This window comes from Homo sapiens, chromosome 1, assembly GCF_000001405.40.
Source record: "Homo sapiens chromosome 1, GRCh38.p14 Primary Assembly".
In the NCBI taxonomy this organism is placed as follows: domain Eukaryota; kingdom Metazoa; phylum Chordata; class Mammalia; order Primates; family Hominidae; genus Homo; species Homo sapiens.
The window spans coordinates 234,831,224-234,844,803 of NC_000001.11; the positions used below are offsets into that span (position 1 = coordinate 234,831,224).

Consider the following 13,580-nt stretch of genomic DNA (forward strand, 5'->3'; position numbering starts at 1 on the left):
TAGTGATCTGTACTTTTTAAATCTCCTTCAAACATTTTCATCTCTACTTTGTAAAATTAAAGACACACCTAACTATTCATGTATTCATCCAGTCAGTGACTTATTTGTTCAACAAATATTTTTCAATACATTCTATGCTGGATCTTGGAGATAAGGCTGTTAACAAGGCAGATGTAGGGCCAGGTGTGGTGGCTCATGCCTACAATCCCAGCACTTACGGCCACCGAGGTGGGCAGATCACCTGAGGCCAGGAGTTCAAGACCAGCATGGGCAACATAGCAAGACCCAGTTTTTTCAAAAAATAAAAAAAGTTAGCCAGGTTTCAGCTATTCAGGAGACTGAGGTGGGAGGATCAATTGAGCCTGGGAAGTCAGGGCTGCAGTGAGCTATGATCGCATCACTGCACTCCAGCCTGGGGAACGGAGCAAAACACTGCCCCGCCCCCCCCAAAAAAAAGCAGGCATAGTCCTGGACCCACAAAGCCCAAAATCTGGCAGAGAAAATGGGCAGGGGACCATAAACCACAAGACAGAGAGGAAGGGTCCCAGGTGACAGGTGAGAGGTGGTGTGAAGCAGGCATGGTGCCCCAGTATGCACCTAGATTGAACTCTTCACTCGCCCAAAGAAGGGACGTGGGAGGCTGCTTCCCAGAATCACACAAGGCAATATCACTCTTTTTCCATGAAAGACTAGGGCCATAAAATAAGTCCGCACCTTCATTTCTATTGGGCTACCCTTCCAAACTCAGACTAGGTCTATGCAACATGAAGTGGATTCAGATTTTTTAAAAACCATTTTAAAAATTAACAAACTAAGTGAGTATTTCATTAACACGATACCACACCGTGGAGCTTACTAAATGAGTGGCTGCTTCCAAGTCCCTCCAGAGAGACGCCCATCCCCATTTCTACTGTCCCCTTGCTCTGCACAAGCCCTGGATGCAGCCTCAGCTTTCCTTGGCTTTCCTCTTTAGTAGCAGCACCTGTATTCTCATATTTGTGAATCCTTTTGAAACCCCCAAAATATGGCAGACTGTCATGTGATAGTGGTTGTATGTTTAATATTTCTTGATTAAGAAAATACATGACAAAAGTCTATAATGAATTTAGCCATGCTTTTGAATAAACATGCATTTTATTAATTATAGCCATCTACATAGATTCAACAAATAACAGCTCACATGGCTGGGAAGTGCTGCTTATTCAGTCCACACAGGCAATGCTTGCAGGGCACATGCATTCTCAGGCCTCTTGCAATAACTCTGGCTACCCTTCTACCCCAGGGATCTAAGGCTCCCAGGTCAGAAACTTGAGAATGAGTGATTTACCATCACAGGTTAAACCAGCTCCACTCCAGTCACTCAGACCGAGTGCTTCAGAACTTTCCCCAAAGTGGAAGAGGAACCTGCAAATCCAATCGAGACAGACTTCAAAAATTGCAACCATCAGAGTTGTAGGGAAATACGGGGAAAGGCTGGGTTCGAGCCTCAGATCTGCTCCACACTGTGCAACTGCTCTCTCAAAGCTTTGGTTTCTGTTTCTACAAAATATATCAATATCATCATCATCTCTATCCAGGGAGCCCATTTAAAAATCAGGTGCAGCTGCTTCGGTGAGTGATGGGATTAAGGATGATTGCTGTTTTTCTTCTTTAATTCTATTAATTTTCCACGTTTCCTACTATTATTATGTGCTGCTTTTATACTCAGAAAATGTGCGCTTTATTTCAATGCTTTGTAAACTACAAAGTGCATTACATGTGACTGTGTCCTTATCTGTGCGATGAGGGTGGAAATAGCCCTGAACTTGGGCTGCTGTAGGAATTTGTAAGTTGTCATATTCTTATTGAGCACCTACTGTTGAGTTAAGATGAAATGAATTAATACATGGAGAGCACGTAACATAGTGCCTGGCACATAGAAAACATCGTAATTGTATTTATCTGTTTGTTGATTGATCATTACTGCTACAGATACAGGAGGTGCACAGAGAGAGTGTTCAAGGACCAAGCCTATTCTCTGAACTTTGTTTTGACAGCTCCCATGGGCACATTGGGGACAGTTCAGTCTACCTCTCCTGACCACAGGAAAAGTAGATCAAGGTCAGGCCCCTAACACCACCGTAATCAGGATGTTGACTGGTCAGGGGCTATAAAGCAGCATGGCTCTGGGGTAGCGTCTTTAGATCTGAATAACTATTTTCAGAGACAGGGTGCTGTTTTAGTTCTGCTGGTCTCTACCCAAACAAAGCTTGCCATATGGACCTACTAAGAGTGGACACAGCTCTTGATGTGAAGTCATGGTCAAGCAGTTTTCCCTTTGCATGCAAAGAGGGGAATGAACTAACATTTACTGGTTGTCTTAGTCCATTTGGGCTGAGATAACAAAATACCATAGACTGTATCTTATAAATAACAGACATTTGTTTTTTACAGCTCTGGAAGCTTCTAGCTTATAAATAACAAATCTTTCCCACAGTTCTGGAGACCAGAAGTCTGAGATGAGGGTGCCAGTATGGTCGGGTTCTGGAGTGGCCTCTTCCAGACAGCCTGCTTCCTGCTTCGTCCTCACTAGCCCCTTACTTATGAGGGCACTAATCACCTCCGTGAGGGCTCCACCCTCATGACCTCATCACCTCCCAAAGACTTCACTTCCTAATACCAACCATCACATCAGGGTTAGCTTTCAACATGGGAATTTTGGAGAGGAGACACAGACATTCAGACCACAGCACCTGGGAATATTTTAGCATTCTGATAATACTCCAGCCATTGTGCAAAGCGCATTTTCATACTTTATCTCATTTTGGCTGACAACAACAAATGAGACAGGCATGATCATGTCCCAGTCTTCAGATGAAGAAACTGAGGCTCAAGTAAATGTAAGAAATTTACCTAATGTCAAACAGCTAATAAGAGGTCAAGCTGGGATTCTGACCTCAGTCTAGTTGACTCAGACTTCTGCAAGCCTCTCTTCCTAATTTCTACCTACTCAGAAACTTCTAGAAGCAATTTTGAATGCTGATCCTAATCTGCAAAGCCCATTTCAGTCTTCCAAGTGCAGAGTCCACAAACCCAGAAGCCTTTGGCCCTTTGCTCACTTACCCTTAGGCTTTTTCTTCTTCTTCTTCTTTTTTAATAACACAGATGGGGTCTTGCTATGTTGCCTAGGCTAGTCTCAAACTCCTGGGCTCGAGGGATCCTCACACCTCAGCCTCTCAAAACACTGGGATTACATGTGTGAGCCACCAAACCAGGTCTCTTTTTTTTTTTTTTTTCTTGACAAGGTCTTGCTTTGTCTCCCTGGCTGGAGTGCAGTGGCCTAAAAACAGCTCACAGCAGCCTCAAACCCCCAGGCTCAAGCAATCCTCCCACTTCAGCCTCCCAAGTAGCTGGGACTAAAGGCACATGCCACCATGCCTGGCTTATGTTTGTACTTGTTATAGAAACAGGGTTGCACCATGTTGCCCAGGCTGATCTCGAATGTCTGAGCTCACACGATCCACCTGCCTCAGCCTTCCAAAGTGCTGGAATTACAGGTGGGAGCCACCGCTCCTGGCTATTTTCAGCTTTTTTATCCCACAAATGGTAAAGAAAAATGGCCAACCATGTCTTGAGGTTCATCTGGGGGCTCTGAGATCCTTGGTCAGAGTAAGACATTCTTTAATCAAAGTTTGACGTGTATGGGATTGGGGTACCATTGAATTCTCTGTAGTTAAGGGACCTGATTCCAACAGCAGGTTGAAGGAAGGATAGGTGTGGAAGAAAGGTCTTTTCAAATAGAGGGACATCGTCGTTCACTTCAAATAAATGGAAGCCAATAGTGAGCTGTAAAATAAATTAAGGATAAATGGTAGGAATTGAGCCTATCATTAAGTATTTATAAATCAATAATTAAAGCCCATCCTCACTATCTCCTACCCATTTTCTCTTAACTAGTATTGTCTTAGGTCTACTAAGGTCAATGATAATTCTCAAGCCAGTAAGCTCTCAAAATCAGGTGCTAGAAAAATAATAAGCTCTTTTATCTTCAAAGATTAGAAACCCTTAACTAGACCAAACCACAGAACGTTAGCCGAGTAAGCATCATCCTTTAGAGATGATGAAAGTGGGTCCCCAGGGTGGCCAAGTGGCTTGCCTGAAGTCTTATTGTAGGACTACTTTAGAGATGCTAGTGCCTGGACTGACTTAAGGTAAGCAAACACAATATCCTGATGACCATGAGTCCAAAAGTCACTTGACACTTAACTGCTGGGGACACCAATAATCTAATTCAGGGAGAATGAAAATAGCCATTCACTTCTTGGTAGAGCCTGGCATTTCCTTTGGAAAAAGACTCTATAATGATGAAGACCAACATAAGTGGGCTTGGAAGCCATGATCAAGAAGCAGGGAGATGGCTGGAAATTCCACCTGCATCTCCGCCACCCCTGAAGAGGGCAGCCAGGCTGAACTGTCCCACAGACCAGGACAACCCCAGACTGCACTGCCCATTTGTCTTTTCATCTCCAATACAGCAAGACACATTACTACCGTGCTTTGTGCAATCGGTCAGTTTGGAGTTGTTGTAAGAGATAAAGTGAATTGTGAGACCGCAGAGTTTTGGCCCTTTCTGAAGGATATCCCAGAACATATTTGGGCTACCTGAGTTCTTAACTCCAAAAGGTTGAAATTACCTGAGTTCAATATCGTTGTTGAACAGCATACATGGACATAATAGAAGTAACTGTCCGTCATCTACAACCATGCATAGGAGCTCAAATAACCCAGTACTGTTTAGTGACAGTAAAATTTTTCTCACCTGAAAATGAAGTTGCAATAATTTATACAGAAGCTATGGCTTTCAAATTATATTTTTATCTAGAGAAACACAGAAATTGTTTCCTTGTACAAAAAGGCTGATGTGGAAAGGAGTTGATCACATGCATTCTGGGTGGCAGTGAGACTTTTGCTCCAGAGGAAAAACTGGCTTCCTGGAAAATGCACCAAGTTGGAGAATGTGGATCAATCCCAGCTGTATTCCTGGCAAGATTTAGATCTACCCAAACAGATTTAACATACTCGCCAGAGTCCGGAGTCCACCAACTCATCAGAAAATGGACAGATGTTCATTTGGAGCCTCAACATCGGGAAAATGCTGTCTTCTCTTCCTATCACTCCATTTGGTTCTCTGTATTACTCAAGTGAGTAAATGCCCAGCCTGACCCAGCCACTTCCTCTGCAGTATAAGGAGGGCAACAATTCTTTGTCAACAGCATCTGTGGCTCTCTGAGGTCTGGATGGACAGTGGCTTGCATTGTTGTGTATGTAAATGCATGTTCCCATTATTTTACACAATACTAACCCACCACCACCACTCCCTGCAGTGCTTGGTAGCGCTAAACGAGCTGGCCTGAGATTTCACATAGGGCAAAAGGGGAAATCGAGAGCATCTTAAGGGAAAGTCCAGTGAACGTAAAATAAAAGTTCCTTCAGGGCCCCCAGACACATGGCAATACTTCAAGGTGTGGCCAAGAAAGGAGAGGGTGTATTTGGATAGACCACCAGAATAACAGCACTTGTGAGTATGTTGATACGTGATGGAGATGTTGCTAAATGTCACTCAGTAATATAGCCCTTGCCTCCATCCACAAAAATAATAAATATCAGCATCTCTCGATGCTGAACGCAGAGCCACCAAGATCTCCAAATTCCTACTATAACTGCCAAGGACACTGAGTGTGCGTCCAAGTACTTCAGTGAATCCATCTTGAATAATCTGTCCTCTGACGTCCAAGCCAAAAAGAAAACCTGTTCCCAGACCTAGCAGGGGTTTTAGAAACTAGGTAACTACTCACCAAGGAGACATTGAGTACATTTGCCTGCCTGTGAAATAATTGTGATAGAAAGGAATCAATTATGGACCCATCTGCAGTTCATTAATATGATCTGTTGAAAAGGAGGCCAAATTCACCAAGTCAACCCGAAAGTCTAAAAATAGGACTAATGCGAGCCTGGCTCAGCAATAAAAAGATCCCTGCATCTGCTGGTGTAGGAGCCCCTGGGCCCTTCCTCACTCTTTACTACTTATCCTCAGTGGTAATTGGGAATGAAGGCATTTATTTTCTTTCCAGAAAAAGAGAAAAACACTCCGTGAAGATTATTGTGGCCAAAAATACCATCCTGTGCTGGTGAAGGAGAAAAAAATCAGAGATTGCTCTCTCATAGCACAAATCCTGGGTGTTTTAAAGATTTCTAAAGGGTCTCCTGTTAAATGGTTCAAAGGGATACATCTTCCTTGAAGGTAGTAGGGTGGCAATTCCCAAAGTATGATATGGGCAAGGATTTTAAGAGGCACATAGATGAATAAATTTTTAGTAATAGCTGTATTTATGGTAATGTGTATTATGCATTAAGAAAATCGTAGCTAGCGTAGCCAACCTGTGACTCCAAGTTGCTTAGAATTAGGATATATCTAAAATATGTTATAAGTTTATAAGTGGAATTGTGCAAGAGTATAAGTACTAAATAAAAGTGATGAAAGTGGCATGCAAAGATGCAAAATGAAATCAGAAGATAGCACATGAATTGCTAAAAGTTGGGAGATACTACTCTTAGGGATGAAGCCAGATGGGTTCCCATGGCTTGGGCCAGTGATGTGGTACACAAAATCATTTCCACAGCCCCAGTAGACTTACTGACAGTCTGGGACCTCAGCAATGTTGCAAGATCTACCTGGTTTCTTACCACATTAAGAAGTCTTAACCCAAATGGGGTGGTCCAATGGTAGTGGGTTATCAGAACTTATTAAGATTAGTGTCACTAAAGTTGGTGTTCAACCCCCAACTCAGCCACTGCTACATTTGACTGGGAAGAAGAAGAAGAAGAAGAAGAAGAAGAAGAAGAAGAAGAAGAAGAAGAAGAAGAAGGAGGAGGAGGAGGAGGAGGAGGAGGAGGAGGAGGAGGAGGAGGAGGAGGAGGAGGAGGAGGGGGGCGGGGTAGGAGAGGAGGGGGAGGGGGAGGGGAGGGGAATGGGAGGGGGAGGGGAGGGGAGGGGGAGGGAAAGGGGAGGGAAGGAGAGGGGAGAGGAGGGGAGGGGAGGGGAGGGAAGAGGCAGGGGGAGGGGAAAGAAGAAGGAAGAAGGAAGAAGAAGAGTTAACCACAATAAACTGTGCAACAGAAGGAGATTCCTTTTATAATCAACAGGCTCAGGGCCTATATTTTTGAAGTTGAACCACATGCCCTAGTGCCCTGGAGGACAACAAGTATAATATATTTTTGCTGTTTTGGATGAGCTTGAGGCTACAGGCACAGAGAAGGGGTTCCTGCAGTCTTTTGACCCTTTATTCCATCCCATGACCTCAACCCTGATAAAATAAGCAGGGGCTTTTGAATCAAGCTTGTCCACTGCCTGGACAATGAGGGGCAAGAAGCACACGGACTCTGGATGCACCCATATGGGCCTGCGATTTTCGGGGTACCTGGTGGGAAAGTAACTTTGGAGAGTGAGCCATCTGCTCACATGGAAGAAAGAAGAATCTGATGCCTTTCTACTCACCACAAAAGCTCTCACCTCTAGTTTAATAAACTGTAGCTCATTCCCACGATGGGATACTGTGTGGCTATTAAACAGTATGAGTTAGACCAAACATGGAAATAGGGAAAAAGAAAAAAAGGAGTTGCAGAATAACATTTTAGCATGATTTGCTTTTGTGCAAAATAAAAGCATTTACATATGCTTGTATGTAAACATAGAGTATTTCTGGAAAGATTTATCAAAACTGTTCATGAAAATTACTTATCCAAGTAGGGCTCACTGGGTAGGAGGACCCAAGGGTAGACAGGCAGATTTTAAGCTCCAGTTTATATAGCTGTCTGTGCCTTCGTAATTTTTGCAGTGACCTCTATTGCTTTTATAACAAAAGCCTTTTTGAATGATAGCAAACAATGGAGCAATATTTAAAAGCTTATGTCAATGCCCCAGGAATATTTAGTCCATGAAACATATGTTGGAGTGAGATGCTCACTTGCATTTACATAATAATCACAATAGATAATATATATTACATAGTAATCATGAAATATACTTAGATTTACATAATAATCATCATACGGAATGCGTATTGCTTAATGGTCATTATAAAACCTATGTAGGCAGAAGCACAGGCATGGATCTGGAGCACTTAAAGGAGCTGGAGGAGAGGATGAGACTAGATCCCCCTTGCTGTAAATAAGACAGCCCCTCTTGCTGGCAGTAATCACAGCCATGAGTTGACTGTCCACCACGGCGGCACTAGATTAGTCACATCACCTACATTAGCTCTGATCCTCACAATAACTCTCAGAGGTGCTGGTGAGAGCTTCTATTTCTCTGTTTTACAGATGAGGAAACTGAGACTTTGGAAGTTTACCCCATTATCAAGGCAGAGAAGCTAACTGTTCAGCAACACTCACGTGGCTCTTTCCATAGTGTAGAAATTGTGAGATTACACATTCTGGTCCCCTATCTCAGGGGTCCCCAAACCCAGAGCCACAGACTGGTACCAGTCCTTGGCTTGTTAGGAACTAGACCACACAGCAGGAGGTGAGCAGCAGGGGAGCAAGTGAAGCTTCATTGGTATTTACAGCCACTCCCCATGGCTCGCATTACCACCTAAGCTCTGCCTCCTGTCAGATCAGCAGCAGCATTACATTCTCACAGGAGAGTGAACCCTATTGTGAACTGCGCATGTGAGGGATCCAGGTTGCTCCTTATGAGAATCTAATGCCTGATGATCTCTCACTGTCTCCCATCACCCCCAGATGGGACCATCTAGTTGCAGAAAAACAAGCTCAGGGCTCCCACTAACTCTACATTATGGTGAGTTGTGTAACTATTTCATTATGTATTATAATGTAATCATAATAGAAATAAAGTGCACAATAAATATAATAAATATAATGTGCTTGAATCGTCCTGAAACCATCCCCCTCACCACCCCAGTCCATGGAAAAATTGTCTGGTGCCCAAGAAGTTTGGGGGCCACTGCCTTACCTCAGCAACACATGACTAGAAGTGATATGTATCACTCTGGGCTAAGGTGGTAAGACATGCCCTCTCTGTCACCTTCCACCTCCACGCAGAATTCTCCAGGGCCTTAGGAGATGGCAGAGTCACATCCTGGAAGGAGCCTGGATCTCTGAGTTACCACCTGGAGGGAAGCCACCCACTGACTTGAATGAGACATAAGCATCAGTGGAAAGGCTCTGAAATTTGAGCATTTATTTGTTACTGCTACTAGTGTTACCCTAAGTCATGCAACAACTGAAAGGCAGTGCCAGAAGGCCATTAGGTTTCAAAGCATACAGAGTAGCATGAAGACACCAGGGCCATTAGTCTTTAAAGCCCGTGCCCACATAATCATAGCAAAATAGCCCCCAAACCATACTATAAGTCTACTGTTTACCTATGGTCTTACCCAGCCACCAGCCCAGAGTGGGGCTCTGGACTGAAGCCAAGTGGAGAAACAAGTGGCATCAATGCACCTAGCATGCCCCCAGCTATGCAACACCTCCCCAGCCACCCTTCTCTGCACAGGAGCTGAAGGTGAGCATGGCTCCCCAGACAGACTATCATGGCCAGCAGTGTCAGCAGGAATCTCTATCCCAGGGAAGGCTCTGAGAGCTCTAGCTTTACCTCCAATCCTCCTCCATCATCAAACTCAGCACTGGCTCTGCCTGGAGTCATATTTACATAACCAAACATGACCCCCACCACACTTCCAACCCACCCACCTCCCTGAGGCCATTGGCGGTGTTCGTGGCATCCTTCTTGCCTGCCACAGTGGCTGAGCTGAGCTGGGGCCACTTCCCACACTGACTCATGCCCTTGGCCCTTATCTAGTCACACTGCCCAATGGGGAATGTGATGAGCTCCCTGAGAATCTTGAGGGGGCTGTCTAGTCCCAAAGGGGCTGGAGACTCTGGATAGGAATTTGGGCTATAAAAATTCTCTACATTTTAGAGGATATTTTATCTCCTATAAAGCTCCCAATGTTTTATAGATTTGGCCCTGTCATAGTGATTGGCAAAACTGGATCTGACAAAAAAAATTTTTGAGCTATGCCAATAACTGTGATTCCTCTTTGTTACTCATTGAGTGTAAGGCGTGGAGAAATATTGTTTCTGCCATTCACCAGGTATAGGCTTTGAAAGAGCAGAGGTGGGGTCTGTGTGTATTTACCACTGCATCATCAGATCCAGATCTCAGCAGACTGCCTGGAACACGGCCAGTGCTCAGAAATATTTGTTGTCTAAGAGTAAGGGGCCCTCTTCATGAGCCATGGAGAATTGGAAAGCCATAATTTTGGAGGAATATTAAATTTTGCTTCAAACATAGGTATAGTCTTTGGCTAATTTGTCCAGACATGGTCCCTGCAAGTTCGAAAGGGATGTGACAGGTAACCCTACAAATAAGGGAAAAGATGCAAAGGGAGAGGATTCAAGCATTCCCGAAGACATCTGGGACCACAAGGAGAGGAAGCATTAATCTCCGAACTGTTCATTAACCCCTGCACTCCCAGACCACGCAATTTTCTAACACTCTCTCAGGAGAGGAGAGCGTGCTGGTGACAGATATAACATCGCGTGAGGCATCACAAGAGTTAGTAAGAACCAGGTCACTGCCCACTGCCTGATTTCTATGAAGACAGCATAGCTGGTCAGTGGTCAAAAAACAGAAGTGGGCCCCAACCCCGGAGACAAATGAGGAACTCCCCAGTCAAAGCCAATCGCAGTCTACTGGGGGATGAAAACAATGTACTTATGTGGTAAGCCTATAAAGAGGTGCTTTTCTGATATTTTCTAAAACCTAAGCTTTTTTTTTTTTAATTCTACACAAGGAAGTGTTACACAGAGGCCCTGTTACAGCTGTTGCTTCACAAAAGTTGCATCAGTTTTCAGTGGCAATATTAGCATTTAACTGTGCTAGAGCACCAATAGACACACACATCCTGAGAAATCAAGTAATTCATTTCCTCTTTCAATTCTAAGTATTTCATTGATGCATCCTTAAGTCTCTACGAAATGTGTTAATTTCCAGGGAAGAAAGGTAATCAGTAATGCTATTCTAAAATAAAACAACTAATTAAATTTTTTTTAAAAAAGAAGACAGAAGTAGAATCATTGCGACTATTTCTTGATTAAGTAGCCTAAGTACATTCATCAGTGGTGTCGTTTTCTGGTTTCCAACAACATAATTTTGTTTGTTGATTATTTTATCCAAAGATATTGCTATACTAAATATCCTGCCAACAGATGTTTCCTCCGGTTTATAGATGTTCACACTTGGTCCCAGACTCTCTTCTAGGTGCTGAGGATACAGCCGTGGACATCTAGCCCCAGTGCAGCTTGTATTCTGATGGGATAGGAGGTGAACCCCAGCAACTGAGCTCCTTTGTTCATGGCAATAAGCCGCCCAGAGCTGACTCCCATTCGGCTGACCACACTGGCTGTGAGCTGCAGCATTTCGGCTTCACGTCCAGGACCTCAGAAGTACAGCAGGAAACTTGACCTAGTCCTCTTCCAGACTTCAGGCCCTTCCCTAACCCCAGCAAGACCAGCCAACAGGTTTCAGCTCCCAACACAGGGCGGATCTCAAACATAACAGGTGACTCAAATGCAGTCTGCGATAGAGTTGGCGCTTTGATGAGTGTCTGGCCCCAGGAGAAGGATTTCAGAAAGCTCAGTTCACAGCACACATCTGGAGGGGCATCCTCAGGGCTTGGGTTTCTGGCAGGCATCTGGGCTGAGGGACTAGCAGGGCTGTCTATGCGCTCACACAGGAAGCCCCGAGAAACATGCCACCCGTGGCAGCCAGCTGGGCTTTCCGCAGAGCCAGGGTTCTGTCCCACTTGTGAGCTGCTTATCTCATCCTCCACCCACACCCCAGGGAGGCAGTGAAGGGCTTTCAGGCAGGAGCAGCCTCATAAGCACTATAATAATGTCAGTTGACTTGAGTTGACTAATATCATGACAGCGTGTTGCAGTCTTCAGAGAAAGATACTAAAATGGTTGTGCTATTACGGATCTCAGAGCATTAAGGAAAGTTGACCAGCTTTCACTGGGCTGAACCAAGGGGTGAAGCAGTCAGAGACAAGGCTGGGACTTTCCTGTTTCTGTAAAACATACTTCTTTCCATTCAAAAAGTTTTGGACAGGCAATATGCAAAAAGACAACTGCTGAATGATTCCACTTGTATGAGGCACCTAGAGGAGTCAAAGTCACAGAGACAGAAAGTAGAATGGTGGGTGCCAGGGACTAGGGGGAGGGGAATGAGAAGTTCGTGTTTAATGGGTACAGTTTCAGTTTGGAAAGATGCAAAGGCTTCCGGGATGATGGTGATGTTTGCACCATAATGTGAATGTACTTAATGAATGCCACCAAATGGTACGCTTAAAAATGCTTCAAATAGGCCAGGTGCAGTGGCTCATGCCTGTAATCCCAGCACTTTGGGAGGCTGATGTGGGCGGTTCACCTGAGATCAGAAGTTTGAGACCAGACTAACCAACATGGAGAAACCCCATCTCTACCAAAAATGCAAAATTAGCTGGGCATGATGGTGCACGCCTGTAATCCCCGCTACTCAGGAGGCTGAGGCAGGAGAATCGCTTGAACCCAGGAGGCAGAGGTTGTGGTGAGCCAAGATCGTGCCATTGCACTCCAGCCTGGGCAACAGAGCAAGACTCTGTCTACAAAAAAAAAAAAAAAGCTTCAAACGGTAAATTTTATGTTGTGTATATTTTACCACAATTAAAATGTATGGAAATATTTATTCTGATTCTTCAGTTAGATCATTTGTGGGTTAAATATGCCCCATGTAGCATTTCTTTCTGTAAATATACTGCCCCATCCCCCACATGGTATTAGACTGAGATTCCTAAGGGTAGAAACTATTTATCATTCATCTTTTTAGCCCCACTCCACCCAGTACAAAGCTCTATATAACATACCACTGGATAAATGTTATTTAAAGAAAAAAATGGATGAACAAGTGAACTCAGAATTCCCATACCGTTGCACCACGTTTTTTTCTAAACATGTGTTCACAGAATAGTAGCAGCAACAATGAGCATTATGAATGCCCTGTATTCAGAGTAAATAAGACTGTCAATCCAAAAGAAAAAGAAATAGTTAAGTGCATATATCTAGCCATATTGAAAGTTTCCTACCCTAAGTCCCCAGACAGCCCTCACTTGACTCTCATGAGTAGTAGGAGTGATAAACGAATGAATAAATGAATGACTTTTCTTCCTGGTCCACAGGCTTAGATTTTCCCAGTCTGGATATCAAGGGCATTCCATGCAGTGAGACTTTAAAGTCTCTAGAGAGGGACAGGAACCACCTGAAGTTGTTTCAGCTTAGACGTCCCTTTCCTTAGTAGCTCCTTCCTCCAGGGTGAGGCAGGAAGTGATCGCCAGCTGCCTCCCTGTTGACCAGGCTATGAAACCTTTTACAGTCACTTGGCTTCACTTCTGTGCTGTTTTTTTGGGTGAAGACTTTCTCATTTTCTGGTAAAGCAGATATTTAAGGGGCAGGAAACTCAACATCAAAAGACCGGAACAGAA

The 13,580-nt window shown here is 44.1% G+C and overlaps 1 long non-coding RNA gene and 1 pseudogene across 2 annotated transcripts in view, besides 2 other annotated features; one reads left to right on the forward strand and one right to left on the reverse strand.

Annotated features, from left to right (window-relative positions):
- LOC107985365 (uncharacterized) overlaps window positions 1–13,580 on the reverse strand; it is a 63,991-nt gene that overhangs the window by 18,388 nt on the left and 32,023 nt on the right. The window lies entirely within an intron of this gene.
- On the forward strand, window positions 6,750–6,847 carry RNY4P16 (RNY4 pseudogene 16; annotated as a pseudogene).
- Window positions 10,952–11,021: an enhancer, noted in NCBI's record as "active region_2770". NCBI's record gives its function as "activates an Ori minimal core promoter by ATAC-STARR-seq in GM12878 lymphoblastoid cells {active_cell/tissue: GM12878}" and the evidence as "EXISTENCE:reporter gene assay evidence [ECO:0000049][PMID:35858748]".
- Window positions 11,821–11,940: an enhancer, noted in NCBI's record as "active region_2771". NCBI's record gives its function as "activates an Ori minimal core promoter by ATAC-STARR-seq in GM12878 lymphoblastoid cells {active_cell/tissue: GM12878}" and the evidence as "EXISTENCE:reporter gene assay evidence [ECO:0000049][PMID:35858748]".